Source organism: Homo sapiens, chromosome 4 (assembly GCF_000001405.40).
Source record: "Homo sapiens chromosome 4, GRCh38.p14 Primary Assembly".
Taxonomy (NCBI): Eukaryota; Metazoa; Chordata; class Mammalia; order Primates; family Hominidae; genus Homo; species Homo sapiens.
In genome coordinates, this window is record NC_000004.12 from 37,260,383 (window position 1) to 37,286,019 (window position 25,637).

Below are 25,637 nucleotides of genomic sequence, written 5' to 3' on the forward strand. Positions count from 1 at the left end.
TTTCTCTGAAACTCCCCAACAGTGTTATTTGGGCAGTTTATTTTATGGAGGGAAAATGTGGGCTCTAGCTCTTTCTTCCTAACTTTGTGAGTGCATCTACTCGATTGCCTGAAAAATAGTAAAAATACCACCTGTCCTTCCTGTAACAGAGTTTATCATGATAATGGAGGGGAAAGCAGCTTTGAAACTACAGTGTATTCATACATGTAAACTATTTATTATGTGGATAGTAGAACAAGGAATACAACAAAGTTTGTGAGGAATAGCTCCAGGATTTAGAAATACCTTCCCCACTGTTCCTTATTCAAACTGGAAGGTATGAGTAGGGTAAAATAGGCATAAAAGACATCTTCCTTAGGCCTACAGATGAGACTATTAGATTGATTTTTTTAAAAAACATCATTGAGTTTGGGATAAGGCAGACAGAGTGTGAACCCTTGGATAGAAGGGATCTGATCTTCATCCTGAATTGTGTAATAGAATCCATTATGTAGCCACATACAACACATGATACAGGGACTTCTGAATAGTAGAGGTTGAAAATTCAGACTGTAGAGTTGGAAGCAGTGGGTTTGAGACCTTGCTGTGTGCCATTTTCTGACTCAGTGACCTTAAACAAGTTACTTAATTTATCCAGTCATCAATTTCCTTATTTCTAAAATTGGAAATATCCTGGGATTCATCTGAGGGTCAAGCTTGTAGAGTGTTTAACACATGCTTGGCACAATGAGCTTTCATTAAACATTAACTAGGACTAATTACCATTATAATTAGTAGCTCCATTTTCTCCTTATCTAGGAGATGCTGAGGACTCAGCTAGTGAAGAAGGACACATCAGGCATGGCTCAACCAGCTGGCGTGCATTAAACAAAGGCTCATCTGCTGGCGGTATCTTTGTTGCCCACTCAATAGAAGAGGGAAGGACATGTAACATGATGATACAGTTAGGAAACATTTGTATTCTGTTTATGTTAAACCAGAATGTTTATTTCCAACTGTCTGTCAAGGTTGACATCTTAGGAGGCCGTATTTATCATAAACATTTTAAAAAGTGTTTTTCAAGGATTACTATCACAAGTAAGTTGTAAGCCATAAAAGTAGGCATGCCTTCTTACTTCACAGACACCCATTTTCCATGAAACTCGCAAGAATCATACAAGTATTTACTGAGGGACTTCTACATGCAAGACACTCTTCTAAGCCGTGAAGATGTAGAATTTAACTATGTTAAATAACTATGTTTACATAATTACATTATCAAATAAACATACACATAGCCCCTACTTTCATGGTGCTCACATTCTGATGGGGGGACCATAATGTAAATATACAAAATCAATTAAAATATTTGTAAAGTTTGTGGAAGGTGGTGATAACTACTGTGAAGAAAAACGAAGCAAGGTAAAGAGAAAGAATAATGGGCAGTTTCTGTCTCCCAGTTAACGGGTGGTCATAAAAGGTCTGTCTGATGAGATATTGTTTGAACAGAGATGCTAACAGTAAAGGGCAGAACCAACCAGATATATGGAGGACAAACATTTCCACCCAAAGAAACATCAAGTGCAAAGGCCCTGTGGCAGAGCATGACTGGGGTGTTCAAGGAAGAGCAAGGTCATTGTACTGGAAAGTAGATGGAGACAAAGGTGATTTTCAAAAAAATGTAATGCCCCTGTGTGGCAGACACCATCCAACCAGAATAAATGCCATCTACAAACATCCAGGAAGCTGTACCTGTGTGTGCCTATGGAGCATCAGCTATGATAAGAAATAAGATCAAGGAACTCGTGGAAGCTGGATCATGTGGAGCCAGCATGTTATCTCATTGTAATTCATAGAAGTCAACTTTACCCACAAAGCATAAGGATTTTCACTATTCATTTAAGGAGCATATTCACTCATTGATTCAATTCATTTTAGAAAATGATTCTAAGAGAAGATTCCATGGTGGCTGTGTCAATTTACATTCCCACCAACAGTATACAGCTTCTGTTTTCTCCACACCTTCATCAGCACTACCTTTTGTCTTTTTGATAATAGCCATCCTAAGAGTTGTGAGGTGATATCTCCTTGTAGTTTTGATTTGCATTTCCGTGATGATTGGCCGGTATTCTTGGGAAAAAAAGTAAGACAGCATTCACTGGGATGTACATTTTCTAGTAGCTGTGTTAAATCTGATCTGGGTTTCCCTACCCACTCCAGAAATTCAGCAATTCATTCAGTGTTCTGGGAGGATAGTGAAATGTGGAACCTAAGCTGATCTTCCCAACTACCCAGGTACCTCGGAACTAAAATGGAAATGGATGAGAGACATTGTATTGGATCTATAGAGGAGCACGTGGCAAAGTGGTCCAACCCTTGAGAATAAGATTCATAATAAGAGGGAAAGGTTTTCTGTTCATATGTGGCCTGGGAAGACAGAAAATCCTCTCTGAGGTTGCAGAGGGTAGAGTCCAGCTTGGTCTCTGGATGCTAGAACATGATGGCACAGGGTGCTTCTTGATATAGCCCCAGGTGGATTCACTGCCACATCCTCCTACCAAAGCTCCTAGAAAACCTGCTAAAAATTATTTGAGAGAGGAAATGAAGGCAACAACCATTTGGGAGCCCATCATGAAGTTCATGGAGCCGAGACCACCAGTGCTACTCTATCTGTCTCAAGGTAGCTATAGTCTCAGCAGAGTCCTAGGTGAATGTCACCTGTGGCATTTTGCAGCCGCTGTGATGTCACTCCCACCAGGGACAACAGGAGCTGCATGGTCCAGCTTTCACAGCTGCTGAGATCCCAGAGTATTTTATATTATTAGAACCTGTAATTGCAGCAGGAAAATGTAATGGCCCACAAGGAAGACACAAAAGCTTCATTTTCATAGCAGGTACCCAAGATGATCAAGAATCATACTGACTATTTTTTTTATTCATTCCAGGAACATTAATGCATGGACAGAACTGTCCATCACTTTCCCTTGCTCAGTCTGGCTTGGCAGCTGAGGGAACATGGGTTATACAAGCTTTCAGTATGTCAACAGTAGAGCAAAGATTGCTTGGGTCTTGGCTCTGGATCAGAAAGTGCTAGGTCCAGTATCAGGGCTCTGCCACTTTGTAGCAGGGTGACTTCTTCCTTAACCTCTTTAAGCCTTGGTTTCCTCATCTTTGAAATGGGGCTTATAATAGTGTTAGACTTCTAAGGTTTTATGAGGGCTAGTGAGATAATGTATTGAAGGCATTTAGCACTCTGCCTGGCACATAACAGATAGATTAATGCTAATTGTTGTTTTGATGATTTAGAGTAGAAGTAGAATTATTTAGTAAAGTGAGCATGTGCCAGAAAGAGAAGAGGGAGGGGAGGAGAAGAATATTCAGTCCTTATAAATTTTAACAGAAATTATTGAAATACAAGAGTTACTGATAGACTAGAACTGGCTGTGAGTTATTTTTTAAAAAAAGAAATGAAATGATTTTTTAGGAATAGAATTTTAGATGGTCATTGGAAGCAGTTGACTATTGCCTTTATTTCAGACCATTTATTCAATGCCTGTGAATAGTGAGATTAAATAATACTTTCTGGGCATCTCTTAAATAAGATGGTAATTAAAGAGAGCACTGGGATAGTATGTGATGCCTGTTAAGTTAGAGATTTCTGAGAGGGACAACAAGGTAGTTAGTAGCTGCTCCATTCATTTCAGATTGGACTGACCAACCCATTCAATCAGAGGAGAGTTTTGGACCCAGAATCCTTCAGTCTATCTATCCAATCCCAATTTGAACAGATAACTGTCAGCTTAATTTAGTGCCTGGCTGAATTCAGATGTAATGGTTTTCTTTTTAATCAGTCCTTTCTGACATAATAGAAGAATTTGAGTGGCTTTCTGAAGGTTAAATAGCTGGAATAAAACTCATATATCCCTAACATTTCAGAAGAGCTTACTTTCCATTTGGTGGATGTGTGATTTTGGTAATTTCTCTCCTGTAAGTAAAATGATGTTCCTCTACCTCCCTCCTGAAGTTGTTTTGCTTATCTTTTTAATTTTTTCATAACCAGCTGACCTTTTTCCTAAATAGGTCATTTTGTTGTGCAGCCAGTAAACTCGGTGTTCTGGAGATTTTTTGCCCAAGGAGGTTGAATATATTTATATCTGGATGTGCTCATATGTCCAACAGATATTTCAATCTGTATTTGAAAGCTGTTAAGGCAATAGCGCTATAAAATTCCCTGCTTCATAAAATCAAAGAAAAATAAATGCTCTTAACATATAACCAGACATTTTCAAAAGTTCAAAAGTAAAATGTAAAAATGAGTCTTTATTCTGTAAGAAAATCAGAAGCAAAACAGAATCTAGCCCTTTTTTATTAATGCAGTTATAGTTTATGTAAACATTTAATTTTCCATTTTAGTTGTAAAAAAACATTATATAAAGGATATGTGTTTTTTAAATATTTTCACAACATAATACCATTGTCTAATCAAAATGACATGTACAAGATAAAAAGTAAAATGTAGAGTCTGCTTCTGGCATAACTTTTCTTCCATAACATTTACACTATTAGCATATGCTAGAGGGTGCTTACTGCAGAATCTGTAGGGTAGAATGAGCCAGGAAACTAATCTCCCAGCCATGTAGTGTGTAAATTGACATAAATTGAAACAATATTAAAATCAGATCAAAAATGTATCTAAAGCTGAACTCCAGCCTGTACTGTGACTTGATTGTAAAAAACTCCCCAAAAAGCGCGGGAGGTGAAAGAAAATAAAGGAATACTTTGTGATATTAATGATAATACTGAATCATTCTTTAAGAAAAAAAGGAACTCAAGATCCAGATATAAAATGATATAGTTCTAATATTTACTGCAGTAAATTAGACAAGATTTAATGGATCTAACTGCACAGTCTCTGTGTAAAGACACACAGAAGTATGAGACATGGGATTGACATTCAGGAGCTTACCGTATAGTTACTAACATTGACATCTGAAAAGTTAAAAAGCAAATTAATGAACAAAACCATTCGTATTCGTTTTCTATTGCTTCTATAACAAGCTAGCACAAAGTTATTGTCTTGAGTTCTGGAGGTCAGAAGTCCGAATTCAGTTTCACTGGTCTGAAGTCAAAGTATTGACAAGTCTGCATTCTCTCTGGAGGTATTAGAAGAGAACCTGTCTCCTTGCCTTTTGCATCTTCTAGACTCTAGGTGCATTTCTTGGCTAATGGCCCCTTCCTCCATCTTCAGTGCCAGTAGCATGACATCCCTCCCATCTCTCTCTCTCTCTGTGACCTCTGCTTCCACTGCCACATTTCCTTCTCTGATTCTGCTTTTGTGGTTATATTTCCTCCTCTTATGCTGATCCTTATGCCTCCCTCTTATAAGGACCCTTGTGATTATATTGGATCCTCCCAGATAATCCAAAATAGTCTCCCCATTTCAAGATCCTTAGCTTAATCACATCTGCAGAGTCAGTCCCCTTTGCCATATAAGGTAACATTCGCAGCTTCCAGAGATGGGCTGTGCACATCTTTCAGGGGGCCATTATTTAGCTTACCACATTATTTAGCTTACCTTAAACAAAAAAGAAAAATATTTGCAGGCTAAATTTCAAGATTCTTTAAGAACACTACAGTCTTCCTCTTTAGTTTCATTCCCTACCAGATGTCTAAATTCATTCCTTCTGGCTACCGTCCTGCCCTTTCCCTCCCCTCTGTCTTCGTTGGTGAGTTCTTTTGTAACCTCTTCACTTTTCAGATTCTTATCCATCCTTCAAAGCCAATCTCAAATGCTGTGTTCTCCATTTAATATTTCTGATTTTCCCAAATTAGCCTAGACATTTTGGTTGCAGGTGACAGAAGCCCAACAAACACATTTAAGCAAGATCTGGAGCCACTGTTAACTCAAGTAATTGAATTGTTTAAACACAGACCAGGGGTGGATCTGGCCTTTGAAACAGCTATGATCAGGAACTTGAACATGATCTGGACTATTTTTACTTCTCCCTGCATACATACCAAGTTCTGTCAGATCAGCTCTTCTAACTTTGGCAGTAGTCGATGTAGCTACAGGTTACTTCAAGCTTACAGTTTTACAACTTTTAGCCAGAAAGAAAGAGACCGTCTCCTTCAGCTAGAGTTTGAAAGAAATTCTGAGAGAAGGACTCTGATTGGCTTGGCTGAGGTCACATGTCCAACCCTTAGACCAATCACTGTGGTGAGATGGTCATGTATTGAAGCTAGAGATAGGAAATGTGGAAAATAATCTTTTAACAGGAAGGAATTATTTACTGTCGCTACCAACTTAGTGTGACTTCTCAAACCCCATTATATTTTGTTTCTATTTTTCTTAACTTATATCATTAATTATACCGCCTTTATTTTGTCCTGTTTTTCTTGCTGACATACTGAGTTCTTAAAGCAAGTGATTATGTCTTTCTCATTTTCACCCTACCCCTCCCACTCAGCACCTTATTCTGTGCAATACTCATAGTAAAAGTACAGTAAAAGCGTTGAATTGGGGTGAAAATAATACTTTAACACAAAAGATATCTCGAGGCAGCTCAAATTTAATTAAAATAGGTGCTAAAAATTCAGAGAAATTAAGTGCACTATGGAGTTTAATGACGAGAAAATATTACAGCTTAAATTGGGATTTGAAAGATGAGTCGAATTTACGTAGAAAAAGGACATATAGCAAAGAGAATAGCATATTACAAAACTCATGTGGTCATAAAGGGAAGAAGGAGAAACAGAAAACTAGTCTAGGTACAAATGGTCTTTTGGTGCTGGAACCTCTTCTATGACTGTACGGCTAGAAATAATAAATATTTAATGTTCATGCTAATTAAAAATTATCATTGCAGAATAGCAGTTTTCCATATCTTGCAAAGATTCATTGTCATTTATTCATTTAATTACTTATTGGTGGTTTACTATGATTATTTATGCATATTAAGGCCTGTGACTCATAATAAGATGTTACTGCTTCAAAGAGGGAGGTAGCAAGATGAGAGAAGAGAGTGCTGAGGAGGAATTAGAGGAAAACAGGGCCAGCCCTGATCATAGCAACCCCATCAGAGCCCACGGTTTTTAAGAATTTCTAAGAACCCTAGTACCTATTGCGAAGGGATGCCTACATTTTAAAATGTGCCTCTTTAGCAAATGTAACATTTTTGATAACAAAGCTGTGGCCTTTGAATTGAGGACCTCACCCACGGATGCATCTAGTCACAATCTATGTAGATCTACTGAAAGTCGTGGGCTGTAAATTTGAAATAATAGAAATCCTTTGACCGGTGTTTTTGAAGTACCTCTTGGTCTTAATGTGTTCTTTAAGACAAAATAAAATGTGAGTACTTACTATATGCCAGGAATTAATATTATTACAACATAATTAAACAATAATTGATACAATTACAACAATTAATAATAAGTGGGCTCTGCCTCCAAGGACTTCATGTCTGTTGAGGGGGAAAAAACACAGAAATGGAACATTTAAGAGATATACGATTATAACTCTGAAAGCCATTTGACCCCAGTGTTATGAAACCATGGTGTTCTGCCTCCAGTACTGACTGATTCCTCATACATTACCCACTTTTCTCATGCTGGTATTACTCTTCCCTGCTCCTGTGGCTTGTCTTGCTTCCTATAGGAATCCTCTGTACAAAGAAAATAGATTTGTATTTGGAAGACAATTTTCATGCTTTCTTCTCAGCCCAGAAACATCAAACTACTCTCACCACCTGTGGGATAAAGTCTGAACTCAAGGGCCTGATTTGCCAGAAACCTACCTACAAATTTGGGGTCATCCTACTAGCCCATTGATTTCTTCCTTGTATCCTGTTTTTACACATTCCCCCAAATGAAGCCCGTATTATCTTCTCTCTCCTGGAGAGTTATTCTCTTTGTCCACAACTCATCAAAACCTGTGAACTTTTAAGGTTTTGGTTTAAAATCTACCTCCTACTGGAAGCCATTCTGAATGAACTTCTAGGGAAATTACTGCTTGACTATTAACCTTTAATCATAGATCTTTTACGTTATTCCTTCTCTGTGTCTAATGTCTTTATGTTGTTTCCCAAATTCATTGTTAACTAATAAAGAAAGAACCAGGACTCTGTTGTATTCATCTATGGGTTCTGAGCACCATGGACAGTGCCTTGCCAGGAAGCATCTAGTTAATATGCGGTTATCACAGTACCTACTTTGAATGTTGATAAGACAATTATAAATGTAAACTGAAATATAGTACTTTTATGTAGAAAGATCATTCATTGGCATTCGTGATGTATTTTGCAATTGCTAAGAGCCTTGAAAAAGCTATTTTGTGATAATTAGAGAAAAAAAGCAGGCTGTTGGCATGAGGAATCAGTGTTTTAAGAAAATTATTCTGGCAGCTGTATATATAATGAGTTGATAGGGTGGGACTGGAAGCAGGTGGACAAGCTACAAGGCAGATGTATTAAATCAAGCATAAGAGGCAAGTAAGTGGGCCAGGATTCTCCCAAACACTCTGCATAGCCCAGCGGCATCTGAAATTATTTAAATATTGCCAAAGGTTATTTGACACATGGAAATAAATTCCCAGGCTTTATTTCCAGTAATTGATCAAAGTCCATCTTTAGCCAAGTAAGGTCAGTTAGAGGGAACTTCAGATTTCCCACAGCAGTGATTTTTAAGCCTAGTTCTTGAGGAATCTCTTTGTCATTATGAGATTTATTTTTATTGCTATTGCTTATCTCACTGGTTTTGTAGGACTTAAATATGATAGCCTGTTTTGTTTACATTAAAGAACACATAATCATGCGATGATCACAAATAAGTGTTTTTAAAATAAAAATGGAACATATGGAAAATAACGCCGGTCACCATTTGGCTTGATTCAGGACATCCAGATGCTTGTCTCCTCTCATGCTGCTAAATGGTTGGTTGTACTTTTAATTAGGGAGCAATGCAAAACTGATGTCTAAAATATTAAAGTAAAAAAATGGAAGCTTAGTTTACAGTCTTATAATCTTTTTATGAGATAAGATTTATATACAATGAAATGCATCTTAAGTGTACAACTTGAGTTTTGACAATGTATTCATTTGTGTAACCACACCCTAATAAAGCCAGAGATCTACCCATGTGCTCTTCACCTGTCATTCTCCATCCTATAAAAGCACCACTCCTGATTTCTCTCACCGTTGATAGTTGTTTGCTTTAGAACTTCATTGAAATGGAATCATAGGTACCTTTTACATTGGGTCCTGCCACTCAGCATAAGGTTTTGAAGATTTATTATGGTGTGTATCAGTAGTTCATTCTTATCCATAATTTGTTTTGTTTTTATTGGTGAATACTGTGCTGTTCTGTTTTATGAACACACCACACATTGTTTACACGTTATCTTTTTGATGGACATTTAGGTTGTTTCCAGTATTTGCTCTCATGAATTAAGCTGTTATGAACATTTTTAGAGAGTCTCTATATTTTTTCACTTGTTAATTAAATACCTCTGAGTGGAATTTCTAGCTCCAAGGGTAGCTAGATGTTTAATTTTATAAACTGTCAATTTCTGAAACTGGTTGTACCATTTTGCCCTCCCATCAGCAATATATGTGAGATTCAGATATTTTATATTATTTGGTGTTGTTGGTCTTCTAGTGAGTATGAAGTGATGTTTCACTGAGGCTTTAATTTGCTTCTCTCTGAAGAGTACTGAAATTGGGCATCTTTTTGTTCTTATTTGCTGTTTATATATCTTCTTCTGAGGTATATGTTCAAATCTTTGACTCATTTTTAAAAAATAACCATTCTATGTTATAAAATAATAGAAGTTATTTTATACAACTTGAATAAGGTTAACCATGCTCATATCAGGAATAGTTATTAGCGTAATTCAAGATACACCAAATCAAATAGTATATCCAGGCACAGAGGTATTTAAAAATTAATTTTTGAATGAATAACTATATCCCATTTAAACTTCAAACAGTAATAATGTGTTTGCAAAGTGGTGAGGCTATTCTCTATTCGAAAAAAGCATTTATACTGTATCCCCAAAGGATAACAGTTCAGTCTGGTTAGCTTCCCTGTCCAGAGTCAAGTCAGTATCTTCTCATATCCGAAGATGGCCTACGACAAGCAGCTAGGGTGCATGGCTCCCACGGAGAGGAATGAGAGGAGCAAGTAAATACAGCACCTTCAACTGAAACATCCAGATATTCACGTTAGGAACAATCATGACTCATTTTTAATTGGGTCATTTGTCTTTTTTTATTGATTGGTAGGATTGTTTATATATTCTGGGTGTGAGTCATTTGTCATATATACATACTAATATTTTCTCACAGTCTGGTACATATCCCTTTTATTTCCTAAATGATGTCTTTTTTGAGAAGTGGTTTTTAATTTTGGTGACAAATTTATCATTTTTTTCAAAATGTAGTGGTTTTTAGCACAAAGAAATCTTTTCCTATTTCAAAGTAGCAATTATTTTCTTATGTTTTCTTCTAGAAACTATATAACTTTAGCTGTTAGGTTTAATCCAGTTTGAGTGGATTTTTGCATGTGGTAAAAGACAAAAAGTTGAGATTCATTTTCTATACATTTATCTGGTTGTCCTTGTGCCATCTGTTAAAAAGACTTTCTTTTCCCCCATTGAATTGCTTTGACAGCTTTGTTGAAAATCAGTTCACTGTATATGTGTGAAATCTGTTTCTAGACTCAGTCTTGTTCCATTGGTCAATTGGTCTATCCTTACTCCATTACCATACTGCCTTGATTACCGTAGCTTTATAGTAAATCTTGAGATTAGATAGTGTAAGTCCATCCACTCTATTTTTTCCCACCAGATTCTTCTGGCTATCCAAGATCTTCTAATTTTCCATGTAAATATTAAAATCTGTCAAGTTCTATAAAACAGCCTGCTGGGAGTTTGATTGGGATTCCATTAAATCTGAAGTTGAATTTAAGAATGGTTGATATCCAAATAATATTGAGCCTTTTAATACATGAATGTGGATATCTGAACAGTGTATTGTAGATTTCAGGAAAGAGATCTTGCACATCTTTTGTTAAATTATTTGCTAAGTATTTTAAATTTTTATGTTATTTCAAGTGGAATTATCTTGTATCAATCTTTACTTCTAGTATATAAAAATAGAGTTGATGTTTATATTGACCTTAAATGCCTTGTGATTTTCCTAAATTCACTTATGAGTTCAAATAATTCTTTTGTAAGTTTCTCAGTATTTCTAGAAACAAAACCATATCATCTAGAATGAGTTTCACTTTTGCCTTTTAGGTCTTCACACATTTTATTTCTGTTTCTTGCCTTATTACATCCACTTATTTTACTCCAAAATAAGTTGTTAAACAAAAGTGATGGGCAGACATTTTTTCCTGTTTCCAATCTCTGGTTGAGTTTATCATGCTATTCAGTTCACCCGATAGATTCAAGTCACTGACATGTCAGTTCCTTTTATCTTGAAGGACTCTCTATAGTGTTTGTTGTAAGGCAAGTCTACTAGTAGCAAATTACCCAGTTCAGTATTTTACTCTAAGAAATCATGTTAACTGTAGGTTTTTTGTAGTGCCCATTTATCAGATTGAGAATGTTCCCATATATTCCTGATTTTTTGAGGACTTTTATTATGAATCGGTTTGAATTGTATTGCAGGTCTTTTCTGTGTGATTGGAAATGATTATATGTTTTTTATTCCTTGATTCTGTCACTGCAGTGAAGTACATTTTTGATTTTCAAATGTTAAAGCAACCTGTTCTTCTTCAGATAACCTAACTTGGTCGTGATGTATTAATATTACCTTTTTATATATTGCTGTGTTTAATTTTCTAATATTTTAAGGATCTTTTTGTTTGTTTTCTCAGGAAGGATATTGTTCTGTAGTTTTCTCATAATATGTTTGTCTGCATTTGGTACCAGAGCCTCATACAATGAGTTGAGAAGTGTTCCTACCACCTCTATTTAAAAAAATAGTTTGTGTAAGGTGAATATTATTTCTTCATTAATAGTTGACAAAATATACCATCGAAGCCACCTGGGCTGCAGTTTTCTTTGAGAATTTATAATTCAGTTTCTTTGATATAGTACAAGTCAGATTTTCTGTTTTATCTTGCAACAGTTCTGTTATATTCATATTTTTAGGGAAATTGTCTATTTTATTGAAATTGTTGATATTGTTAGCATAAAATTGTGCATATTCGTTTTTTATTTTATTGGTATATATAGGATGCCTAGTGGCATGCCCTCTATTACTGATACAGGTACTGATTTTTCTCTCCTTTTGTCTTAATCGGTTTTCAAATGATATAAATATTATTTATTAATCTTATTTTAAAACAACCATTTTTTATTATATTTTCTGTATTATTTGCCTTTTATTTCATTGCTTTCTTTCTTGTTTCCTGCATTCTACTTGTGCTGGGTTTAATTTGCCCTTTTTCTGTTTCTTACAGCAAGAACTTAGATTATTGAGTGTAAACCACCTTTCTGATGTAAGCATTTATGGCAGAGCATATGTTATCTCCTGGAGAATGCTCCATGTTTGAAGAGAAGGTATATTCTCCACACATTAGGTGATGTGCTCTCTAAATGTCAGTTAGGTTGAGTTGGTTGCTCAGGTATTTCAGTTCACCCAATAGATTCAAGTTACTGTCATGTCAGTTCATTTTATCCTGAAGGCCTCTCTGTAGTGTTTGTTTTAAGGCTGGTCTACTAGCAGCAAATTCTCTCAGTATTTATCTGTAGAATTTTGCTGTTATTGTTTTGTGGGATACTTTTGCTGGATATAAATTTTTCTAGTTTAACAGATTTTTTTATTGCCCTCTGCATTTTCATTATGTCATTCCACAGCCTTCTAGCCCTCATTGCTTCTGATAAGAAGTGAGCCCTTCAGGGGTTGCAATCCTAGGCTCTGATAAAACAGATTTTAAACCAACAAAGATCAAAAGAGACAAACAAGGCCATTACATAATGGTAAAGGGATCAATTCAACAAGAAGAGCTAACTATCCTAAATATATGTGCACCCAATACAGGAGCACCCAGATTCATAAAGCAAGTCCTTAGAGACCTACAAAGAGATTTAGACTCCCACACAATAATAATGGGAGACTTTAACACCCCACTGTTAACATTAGACAGAGCAATGAGACAGAAAGTTAACAAGGATATCCAGGAATTAAACTCAGCTCTGCACCAAGCAGACCTAATAGACATCTACAGAACTCTCCATCCCAAATCAACAGAATATACATTCTTCTCAGCACCACATCGCACTTATTCCAAAATTGACCACATAGTTGGAAGTAAAGCACTCCTCAGCAAATGTAAAAGGACAGAAATTATTACAAACTGTTTCTTAGACCACAGTGCAATCAAACTAAACTCAGGATTAAGAAACTCACTCAAAACAGCTCAACTACATGGAAACTGAACAACCTGCTCCTGAATGACTACTGGGTACATAACGAAATGAAGGCAGAAATAAAGATGTTCTTTGAAACCAACGAGAAAAAAGACACAACATACCAGAATCTCTGGGACACATTTAAAGCAGTGTGTAGAGGGAAATTTATAGCACTAAATGCCCACAAGAGAAAGCAGGAAAGATCTAAAATTGACACCTTAACATCCCAATTAAAAGAACTAGAGAAGCAAGAGCAAACACATTCAAAAGCTAGCGGAAGGCAAGAAATAACTAAGATCAGAGCAGAACTGAAGGAGATAGAGACACAAAAAACCCTTCAAAAAATCAATGAATCCAGGAGCTGTTTTTTCTTAAAGATCAACAAAATTGATAGACCGCTAGCAAGACTAATAAAGAAGAAAAGAGAGAAGAATCAAATAGATGCAATAAAAAATGATAAAGGAGATATCACCACCGATCCCACAGAAATACAAACTACCATCAGAGAATACTATAAACACCTCTGCGCAAATAAACTAGAAGATTTAGAAGAAATGGATAAATTCCTCGACACATACACCCTCCCAAGACCAAACCAGGAAGAAGTTGAATCTCTGAATAGACCAATAACAGGCTCTGAAATTGAGGCAATAATTAATAGCTTACCAACCAAAAAAAGTCCAGGACCAGACAGATTGACAGCCGAATTCTACCAGCGGTACAAGAAGGAGCTGGTACCATTCCTTCTGAAACTATTCCAATCAATAGAAAAAGAGGGAATCCTCCCTAATTCACTTTATGAGGCCAGCATCATCCTGATACCAAAGCCTGGCAGAGACACAACAAAAAAAGAGAATTTTAGACCAATATCCCTGATGAACATCGATGCAAAAATCCTCAATAAAATACTGGCAAACCAAATCCAGCAGCACATCAAAAAGCTTATCCACCATGATCAAGTGGGCTTCATCCCTGGGATGCAAGGCTGGTTCAACATACGCAAATCAATAAACGTAATCCAACATATAAACAGAACCAAAGACAAAAACCACATGATTATCTCAATAGATGCAGAAAAGGCCTTTGACAAAATTCAACAACCCTTCATGCTAAAAACTCAATAAATTAGGTAATGATGGGACATATCTCAAAATAATAAGAGCTATCTATGACAAATGCACAGCCAATATCATACTGAATGGACAAAAACTGGAAGCATTCCCTTTGAAAACTGGCACAAGACAGGGATGCCCTCTCTCACCACTCCTATTCAACATAGTGTTGGAAGTTCTGGCCAGGGCAACCAGGCAGGAGAAGGAAATAAAGGGTATTCAATTAGGAAAAGAGGAAGTCAAATTGTCCCTGTTTGTAAATGGCATGATTGTATATCTAGAAAACCCCATCGTCTTAGCCCAAAATCTCCTTATGCTGATAAGCAACTTCAGCAAAGTCTCAGGATACAAAATCAATGTGCAAAAATCACAAGCATTCTTATACACCAATAACAGACAAACAGCCAAATCATGAGTGAACTCCCATTCACAATTGCTTCAAAGAGAATAAAATACCTAGGAATCCAACTTACAAGGGATGTGAAGGACCTCTTCAAGGAGAACTACAAACCACTGCTCAATGAAATAAAAGAGGATACAAAGAAATAGAAGAACACTCCATGCTCATGGGTAGGAAGAATCAATATCGTGAAAATGGCCATACTGCCCAAGGTAATTTATAGATTCAATGCCATCCCCATCAATCTACCAATGACTTTCTTCACAGAATTGGAAAAAACTACTTTAAAGTTCATATGGAATCAAAAAAGAGCCCACATCGCCAAGTCAATCCTAAGCCAAAAGAACAAAGCTGGAGGCATCACACTACCTGACTTCAAACTATACTACAAGGCTACAGTAACCAAAACAGCATGGTCCTGGTACCAAAACAGCATGGTACTGGTACCAAAACAGAGATATAGACCAATGGAACAGAACAGAGCCCTCAGAAGTAAGGCCACGTATCTACAACTATCTGATCTTTGACAAACCTGACAAAAACAAGCAATAGGGAAAGGATTCCCTATTTAATAAATGGTGCTGGTAAAACTGGCTAGCCATATGGAGAAAGCTGAAACTGGATCCCTTCGTTACACCTTATACAAAAATTAATTCAAGATGAATTAAAGACTTAAATGTTAGACCTAAAACCATAAAAACCCTAGAAGAAAACATAGGCAATACCATTCAGGACATAGGCATGGGCAAGGACTTCATGTCTAAAACACCAAAAGCAATGGCAACAAAAGCCAACATTGACAAATGGGATCTAATTAAACTAAAGAGCTTCTGCATAGCAAAAAAAACTACCATTGGAGTGAACAGGCAACCTACAGAATGGGAGAAAATTTTTGCAATCTACTCATCTGACAGAGGGCTAATATCCAGAATCTACAATGAACTCAAACAACTTTACAAGAAAAAAACAAACAACCCCATCAAAAAGTGGGCAAAGGATACACTTCTCAAAAGAAGACATTTATGCAGCCAACAGACACGTGAAAAAATGCTCATCATCACTGGCCATCAGAGAAATGCAAATGAAAACCACAATGAGATAACCTCTCACACCAGTTAGAATGGCGATCATTAAAAAGTCAGGAAACAACAGGTGCTGGAGAGGATGTGGAGAAATAGGAACACTTTTACACTGTTGGTGGGAACATAAACTAGTTCAACCATTGTGGAAGTCAGTGTGGTGATTCCTCAGAGATCTAGAACTAGAAATACCATTTGACCCAGCCATCCTATTACTGGATTATAAATCATGCTGCTATAAAGGATTATAAATCCTTTATATCCTTTATAACCAGAGGATTATAAATCATGCTGCTATAAAGACACATGCACACGTATGTTTATCGCGGCACTATTCACAATAGCAAAGACTTGGAACCAACCCAAATGTCCAACAATGATAGATTGGATTAAGAAAATGTGGCACATACACCATGGAATACTATGCAGCCATAGAAAATGATGAGTTCATGTCCTTTGTAGGGATATGGATGAAGCTGGAAACCATCATTCTCAGCAAACTATCTCAAGGACAAAAAACCAAACACCACATCTTCTCACTCATAGGTGGGAATTGAACAATGAGAACACATGGACACAGGAAGGGGAACATCACACACCGGGGCCTGTTGTGGGGTTGGGGGATGGGGGAGGGATAGTATTAGAAGATATACCTAGTGTTGAATGACGAGTTAATGGGTGCAGCACACCAACATGGCACATGTACATATGTAACAAACCTGCACATTGTGCACATGTACCCTAAAACTTAAAGTATAATTAAAAAAAAAAAAAGTCAGCCATTAATTGTACCGATCCTCTGCAGTATGAGATGTTTTGCTTTTCTTTGTGTTTAGAGTTTTCTGTCTTTGGCTTTCCAGAGTTTTACTATGACATGTCCCGGTGTGAATCTCTTTGTATTTGTGTCTCATTGAGCTTCTTTAATACACAAATTAATTTTTCATCAAATTTGGAACGTTTTAGCTGTTATTTCTTCAAAATATTTTCTATCCCTGCCTTTTTTTCTCTTCTTCTGGGACTCCCACATAGTTTGCTATGTTTGATGTCCCACAGGTCCCTGATGCTTGGGTTCATTTGTCTTTAATCTTGGCTCTTCAGATTGAATATTTTCTTTAATTTCACTGATTATTTTTATTCTGTCATCTCAAGTATGCTATTGTGATTTCTGGGGAATTTTTATTTCAGTTATTGTAATTTTCAACTCTAAATTTAAAAAAAAATTCAGCTGCCTCTTGATTATCTCTATTTATTGTTGACATACTTTGCCATTCTAAAAAATGGTTTCCTTTTTTTTACATTAATAACAACTTCTTTCAAGTCTTTAATATCAGGGATATTAGAGACAGTTTCTACTGACTACTTTTTTCCTTGAGTATATGTCACACTTTCCTGTTTCTTTGCATATCTCACAATTTTTTGTGAAAACTGGTCATTCTAGTTAACATATTGTAATAGTTCTGTATTTTTATATTTTTCCCTGAAGATTATTGTTTTTTTTCTGCTTTTGTTGTTTATTGTGTAGTAACTTGCCTAAGCTACTTCTTTGAAATCTGTCTGCCCTGCAGTATGATTCCACTGATATCTTTGCTCAGTTTATGTATAGACAGAGACAAAGATGTAAGTATTTTCTTTAATTTTTAGGTCAGTTTTCCTAGGGGTCATCTCATATGTCTGTGTAGTTTGGTGGTGAGAGGTCATATTCAACCACCTTGTGAGTAAGTCCTCTGTCAATGACTGTGTGTATGGGATGGGTAATGCATTTAAGGCTCAGACTGTTTTAAATCTTGCTCTAACTTTTATCTGTGCCCTTTAAGGTCCATTTACATAACCTTAGGTTTAGTTAGGAGTGTCTGAATAGCTTGAGTTGGTATTCTGGTGCTCTCTGCATGTGCTCTCAGCCATAATTATGATTTCTCCAACCATGACTACAACCTTGGGTGAGAAGAACAATTGGCACTTACTACTTGTCCACTGTTGAGATTATTATGTCCACGAAACATGTCACTGGGAATGGACATCATCCACCACTGCAAGTCAGGTGAGCCCCTTTATTTACGCAGATAAAATGCCAGCCTCGTGGCTTACCCTAACCTGGTGGAACCTTCATATCAACCATACTGGACAACAGCAATTGTGAGACACCATTAATTGTAAGTTTTCTTCACATTTTCTTCAAATGTGAGGAGATATGTAGCTAGAAATCAATGAAAAGTGGTATATCAGGAAAGCAGTACTTGAATCAATCTTGAAATGCATTGCTGCATTTGTGAGGGTTTTGATCAATCCACCAGCCCCTGAACCTTCATAGAAACCAGCACCATTTTCTTGGGCCATTTATCAGTGTGATGAACTGGACCAGGCCATAGCCAAAGAGAAATGGGCCATTTCCCAAAACGCATACACCTAAAAGGTAAATATTTAACCCGATTTCTGACTTTCCTACCAAAGATTCAACATATTTCACTCTTCACCCTTTTAAACCTCCTTCCTTAAAAGAGAAGGGTACACAGTTTTGCCAAGTGCAGCATACTCAACCCCCTGTAGAAGACAGTGCAAAACTGACTTAGTATTATATAAGCATTCACCTCTGTTATACTTGATTCTTTAGTACAACATCAAGAATAATGTCCACAGAAGGAAGACAGAATGCAAAGAAAGAATAAAATAAGATAGAGAAATACACAAGGTTGATTAAAAAAAACACATACTTTTAAATGGAAAAGACAATTTGCTGTGAAGTTTTTTGGTTTTAGGTCTATCTGTGGCAAGTTCCTTTATTTATTCACCTTGCTTTATAGATTTCTAGCTCCATATTTCAATTGTTTGCTTTTATTTTAAATGTTAGTCCATTTGGAAGCCAAAATAAACAGATAATGAAGGAATAGAGCCTTCAATGGAAAATCCTACTCACCAAATGGAAGGGTTGGTTTTGGAACAACAAAAAAGTATTACGTAACAGTAACACTAGATCTGTAGGAGAGTAAAAAGTTAACATAGTAATTTACTGTTCATTGCCATAATTCCATAGTGAAATCTCCAGAAATCATATGTAGAGACAGAAATTCATTGTAAGTGAATATCAGTTGATTTTTCCAAATGTGTTCTGAAATTACTATAACATCTAGAATGAATTGCAAGAAATATGCAGTGAAAAGTACTCAAAAGTAGAAGCATCTCCATTATATCTGCATTATCTTGAAAATAATATTTTACTTTATATATCTTGTTAGTGACATGTTTTTAAGTTTATTCTTCCCTGGCAAAAATCAGTTATGGTATTGCAGAGCAAAATTCCTTTTGAAAAAGATATCACTTTACATGCAGATTATATTATCACCTATAGCTAAGCCTAAACATTAACTCTAGAATATAATCAAATGAAATGCCTCTAAAAAGTATAAAACTAAACCAAAAATAAAAAATAAAAACAAGAAGTAGGAAATTATTCCTAAGTTATGGTAGAAATCTTTTCTCATAAGAGAATTCCCTAGAGGAGAAGAAGAATGAATAGAGAAGCCTTCCTTTATCATTTCATAATTCATAGAGAGATTGACAAGAGTGAGGGGAAAGCCTTTGATTCCCAACCTGGCATAAAAGAGAACAAGTGGTTGCTAAATGGCTGCAGAGCCAGAGAAAGCATGACACTTGTTTTTAGAGTTTTCCCTTTATATATCCAGAGTACAGAAAGTCCTCCCCTAATGTCATCAGTAGATTCGCAGAAACTGAAACTTCAGTGAGAGAACACATAATGAGACTGTTTTACCACAGGCGAATTGATATAAGTAAGAGTTAAGTTCCTATGACATATTTCTGGCCACAAAAACATCACCAAACTTCTAAATAAAAACCAAAACACTTCTAATATTAAACATTGAAATAAATGTGAGCTATACATATATTTAAGAAAGACTAATAAGATCATTATTTACTCTAGTTCAGGATCTTGGGTGGCCAGAACCTATCCTGGCAGCTCAGGTTACAAGGTGGGAACCAGCCCTGCACTGGAGGTCATCCCATGGCAGGATGACTCACGCCCACACTCATTCAGACTGGAACCACATGGACATGCCAGTTCACCTAATGGGCACAGCTTTGGGACACAGGATATCCGGGAGAAAAACCACACAGACATAGGGAGAACGTGCAGACTCCTGCTGGGAATCAATATTTTTTTTCTCATCAATGTTATAAGGAAGCGACATTGATTGAAACAACATTATTTAAGGACCTCTGTACTGTGTCAGTCAAGGTTCCTGCAGGAAGCAGATGGTACACTCAAGCTAGGTTAACTCTAGAGGGTTTAAGAAAGGGGACTGTCAGCAAAGCCCTGAGAGGAATAGAAAGAAATTGCAAGGGATAGTACAGCACCCCGGGGCTAACAATAGTAGAATTGTTACCGCCCCAGGTCCAAAGGACCCAGAAGAAAGTGCATTTACAGAATTAGAGAAAGCACCCTAAGGGGACATAGCATAGCAAATATGAGATGTCCCTACAGGTTAAGACCCTGGGGAATAAAGACCATAACCTCTCTCCTTTCTCCCTGTGGCCTGGTGCTGTGGCTCACAGGGTGCATACATCACAGCAAGCTGGAGGAGTAGGAAACCCATTGGTGTCCTTTGTACAGATTAGCCTCCTGGCTGTGGGAGAGAGTAGGTAGAGAGGGTGGGGAGTGGGTCTGGAGGGGCAAAGGGAAGAAAGCTAACCTTTGTTGCTAGTTTGGAATGCTGCTTCTGAGGGACAGTCCAAGGGGGGGACATGGTTAAAAACAACCACAACAAAATCAAATGTGATCACAAAAGAGGAAAGCATACATGTCAATTGCAGGACTCCAGTTCAGATTTTCCTAGGAAGGATCTCATCACCTCTCTGGTAAACTACCCAGTGGGTGTCCTCGTGTGACAGTTTGTGGTCCCCTCTCTTTTGAACCACGCAAAGTGTTCCTGGGGCCAGTTGGGGAGTTTAGTAGAATCTACATTTTTTTTTTGAAAAGCTGCTATGTATCAGATATTTTGTTAAAAATAGGTAATATAAAGGTAAGATAAAGACTCAATTCCAACCCTCATAGTCCTCATGGGATGAAAGGAAAGAGATCCTTAAGCCATGTCTCTATGAACCTATTAAGGAAAACTAGAGAAGACAGACAAGGGGGAGGAGGAGGAGAACTGGGACCCATCTCTCCGCTTAAGTACTATATATGTGTTAAATCGTTCTTTCTCTTACTAACCCTGTGAGATTCGTCCTGTTAGCGTCCCCATTTCATATATGAGAAAACCAAGTCCAGTAAATTTTAAGTAGCATGCTCAAGGTCACACCATAAGTAAGTCGTGGAGATGGTATTTGAGCTAGGTAGTGTGGAACTTAACGTTATTAAGATAATGGTGAGATCAATATAAAGAAATTTCATTTTCTTATATATTTTTATCTAACATTTCGATAATCATGGTTACAATCAAATTATTTTAAACAAATTTGTGGACATAACAGTTATAAATAATTTAATCTGTATTCAATACACAAACAATAACACTCTAGTATCTAAATTGAGAAAGTATGGCTAAACATAGCTTCATAAAGCCTTCATGATATTTATGATTCCCCGGGAAGAAACAGAAAGATCCATCTCTTCTGTACATACACAATCTTCAGGATTTCTCTTCTTTATAGTCAGTATAATTTTGCTTATATCAGCCAATATTTTAGAGCAATTATGCATAGACCTTTAGTGTTCAGTAATATAACTCAATGGCCTCTCAACTTTAAATCACTAGCATATTTCATGTAAAAAGCAACAGCTCTTTCTATGAAAGGCTATTAAAAATGAAAAACACTACAAAAATCAAACACCCCAAGACCTTAAGAATAGGGTGTGCATTCCACTATTTATATCGAAAAAGAAACTGCTGATAAATTGATAGCATTATAGCTATATTTTATTCTTGAGGTAGGAAAAAAAATGCAGAATAACAATGGGTTTTTTTCCCCTGAGCCTGCTTTACTTCCCAGCCTTGAAGTAATTTAAGTGCTTAGAAAAGCATGTTGAGACTATTAGTCTGCTCTGATACTATTTTTGCACAGTAAATAGAGTTTGTAGGTATAAAAATAGTAAACTGTCTCCCTGTTAAATAAACAGTAATTCAGTAAATCAGATCCATTGACCTTCCAGTCAGTCTGAATCCTTGCACAATTTGAGTTGTAAAAATAGTCAACCACAGTTCCATCACTCATATTCAGTATTTATTTGATGGGTATTTAGCTCCAGCTATTATGCTAGGCATGCTCCGAGAACCTACCTCTATCTTATGTTTTGGGGCATTAGTGTCTCTTTGCTGGGTTCTGGTTACACACATTTACCGAAGATAGTGAGTAAAGCTACACCATGAGTATCCTTGGAGAATTTATTTAACCTCTCAATGCTCCCATTTCCACAATCATCAAAGTTGTATTTAGTTTTTTTTATTTTTAGCATTGTTGTGTGAAACAAATCAACTGATAGATGGAAATAATGTAATTATAACAGGTACTGTTTATAACACCCAGGACCTTGCATGATTACTATGTAACTTACAGATTATTGGGAAAGTACAATTATTGTCTTACTGGGGACACTGAAGCTTAAACTTTAGTATGTCCTCAAGGTCATAAAGCTGGTGTGTTGTCGCACCAGGGACTCACACCCTGTCCCATCTGACATGAGGCTCTGAGCCATTAGCTGTGGCACATTGCTGTCATTTCTACTGAACTCACCATGATTTCTACTGAACTCACCTTAAATCCAGTCTTCTGTAACCAAAGAAAAGCCTTCTCCCAGTAAAAATGTGTAAATTATCAGAATTCATATTGGTAATATTTTAATACAAAGCAATCTGTTTTATCCAACTATGGAGGGATATAAGAATCAATATATTATGGCTTTAGGAAAAAATTACCCTGAGGACCATCCAGCTTTTTTGACAGACACAATAATTTCTGAAAGATAGCACTTACGTTCTCTTTAATGTTGTTTTAATTTTTTAAATTCAGTATGTCTGTATATGTTACCTAAGCCTTCTTAATGACACTGGGAGATTTTAGTTCTGTCTTATGATAATTATAGGGGTCAATGTTTCAATAAATTATAAATGTACACTTATTACTACAGTTTATTAAAATTCTGAACCTCCTGAACTTAGGAGTTTTACATCTTTCTAAAAGCCTTGTACCGTTAGTATCAGTGATTTAACTCTTAACAGGGTAAGACCCCACAGTGTGTAAGTCTTGTATTTCTGAAAAAAATGGGACTTACCTTTTATTAATGAGGATCACATAGAAATTTATATGTAGTAGTGGGAGCTCAGATAATTTGACCAAGATTTTTCTTGATATCTCAGTAGTATCTGAGGAGTATAAGATAATTAAGAAAACCAGTATCTCTGGGGAGTATATTTAGGGCCATTCTGTGTGCTGTAGTAGTATGTGCTCTTGAGTGAGGTCAGGAAATCTGGATTCTGAGGAATGCTTCCTAAGCTCTTGGGGCTTCAGTTTTCTCATCACTTAAGGAGGTGGCCCTTGATCTGTTTACTGTATACATTCTATGCAGTTGAAATACTGAAAACATTTTATGTAAATTCCTTTTTAAAAATATTTGACAATATCCTCTGGAAGGTCATTAGTACTGAATTGTTATAAATCAGTATAGACCATTTATCTTAGTCTGTTTGGACTGTTATAACAAAATACCATATATTGGGTGGCTCATAAGCTACAAAATTGTATTTCTCACAGTTGCCGAGACTGGGAAATCAAATATCAAGGTGCCAGCAGATTTGGGGTCTGGTGAGAGCTCGCTTTCTGGTTCGTAGGTGGCACATGGTAGTTGCATCCTCACATGGTAGGAGGAGCAACAGAACTCTCTCTTTTGTAAGGTCACTAATCCAATCCAGGATAACTCTACTTTCATGACTTAATTACTTCCCAAAAGCCTCTCCCTCTATTACCTTCAGGTGAGAGTAATTGAACATATGAATGATAGGATTTGAACATATGAATTTTGGAAGGGCACAAACATTCAGACCATAGAGCTATCCCATCCAGAGTCCAGAATATTCGATGAGCCCCAGGACCCCACAGCCCATCTTGAGGGACCCTCATTCCTTGGCTCCTCCAGTGCCTGTTGGAGTCCCCCACAGAGCCCTGGATCTCCAGTATCTCCTTCAGCCTAGGGTGACACCATGTATCTAATGGCTCTTCTATGGCCCATTTGCAGGAGACTTCCTTTTTAGCATGAATTGCTTAAAAGTAGGAAGTAAAAGGAAGACATTGTTCAATTTGGAAGAGTGGAACAGATGAGGTGCATGTAGTTCTCTCTGCCCAAACACAGTGAGTATCTAGTTCTCGGGATGCTGTGATAGCCCTTGTAGTTGACTTTCCTCCAGAACCAGGCTTCACATTTGTGCCTCTTCAGCTGTGCACTCTCCTTGTGTCCCTTCAATGGCTAGAGTCCTCTGGTGAGGGATGTCAAAGAAGGCTGATGGCAGAAATGATGGGATGCCTCCGTAGGGTACTTGGCCTACCTGCCTTCAGGGATGACACCCTCGGTATTTGTTTTACCCATGAATTGCTTCTTCCAGCCCCACTTCACAACTAGATATTTACTTCTATGTGTAAGTACAGGTAGGGATGAGTTTTTTTTTAATCTTGAAACTGTAAATGACCGTCAGTACCATACAATGTTAACACTCGTTTCTACACCCAGCCCCTTTCACTCCCCACATCCTCATTTTACCTGTGAGGAACTGAAGCCTACGTCAAGTCACAGTAATTATTGGCAGAACTCAAATTTAGTTCATATGACTCTTGTGAACGTTCCAACACACTATGTAACTTTTATAGGAATAGTCCTTTTCTTTCATTTTTTTCCTAAATTATCTCTAACATGTGTTCCCTGTAATTCAGTAACATTTGGTTATTTTTACATAGCTTTGGAATTGTTAGAGAAAACACTGCGGCTGCCAAAATATATTTGTAAATAATTATTCTGAAATTTTCTCCCGTATATTAAAGTTGGCTGATCTCTAAGGCCTTCTAATAATACACAATATAATAATATATTTATAGTAATATAGAAAAAGACAATAGGGCAGTCCTCGTTGATAATTTTTATAAGTACCTAGGAATCAACTGAAAAATGATTGGGGATTGTTCTCACAAATTTTATTTTATTAACTGCTGTCCAAATGAAGGATGCTATTCCTTAACATTTAATTAATTTCTTTGGAAAAGCATATACACTTTTTGGTTTCATTTGAGCTGGGTAATACTTTCTAAATTAGGTTTGGTTAATATATTTTTACTTTATTTAGGGTTCTAATACATGTCTATATATTTTAGCTTCCTTCCATTGAACATTTTATGCAAAAGTTTATAGTAACTTGATTTTTTAAATCAAAAGTATATATGTAGAAAATTCTGTGGTTCTCATTAAATAGGGAGTATCACTATTCCATTCAGATGATTGAATTTTTAAAAGTTACTTTAGTGTCACTTATACTGAAAAGAATTTCAGTCTGATTTTTGAAGACTCATCAGATATGTGTGAAAATTTTGAAGCAACTTGGTGTTAGAATCATGACACCAACTGACATTAGGCCATATGTGTGCACCTGAAGCAT

General features: G+C 36.6%; 1 protein-coding gene across 1 annotated transcript in view, besides 3 other annotated features; it reads left to right on the forward strand.

Annotated features, from left to right (window-relative positions):
- The window catches only part of NWD2 (NACHT and WD repeat domain containing 2), a 204,721-nt gene that overhangs the window by 15,640 nt on the left and 163,444 nt on the right, over positions 1-25,637 (forward strand). The window lies entirely within an intron of this gene.
- Positions 6,702-6,871: an enhancer, noted in NCBI's record as "experimental_78898 CRE fragment used in MPRA reporter constructs". NCBI's record gives its function as "activates a minimal promoter by MPRAs in K562 erythroleukemia cells, with activity observed for both the introgressed and non-introgressed 4:37268791 variant alleles {active_cell/tissue: K562}" and the evidence as "EXISTENCE:reporter gene assay evidence [ECO:0000049][PMID:34662402]".
- Positions 9,847-10,016: an enhancer, noted in NCBI's record as "experimental_78906 CRE fragment used in MPRA reporter constructs". NCBI's record gives its function as "activates a minimal promoter by MPRAs in K562 erythroleukemia cells, with activity observed for both the introgressed and non-introgressed 4:37271936 variant alleles {active_cell/tissue: K562}" and the evidence as "EXISTENCE:reporter gene assay evidence [ECO:0000049][PMID:34662402]".
- Positions 18,397-18,566: an enhancer, noted in NCBI's record as "experimental_78938 CRE fragment used in MPRA reporter constructs". NCBI's record gives its function as "activates a minimal promoter by MPRAs in K562 erythroleukemia cells, with activity observed for both the introgressed and non-introgressed 4:37280486 variant alleles {active_cell/tissue: K562}" and the evidence as "EXISTENCE:reporter gene assay evidence [ECO:0000049][PMID:34662402]".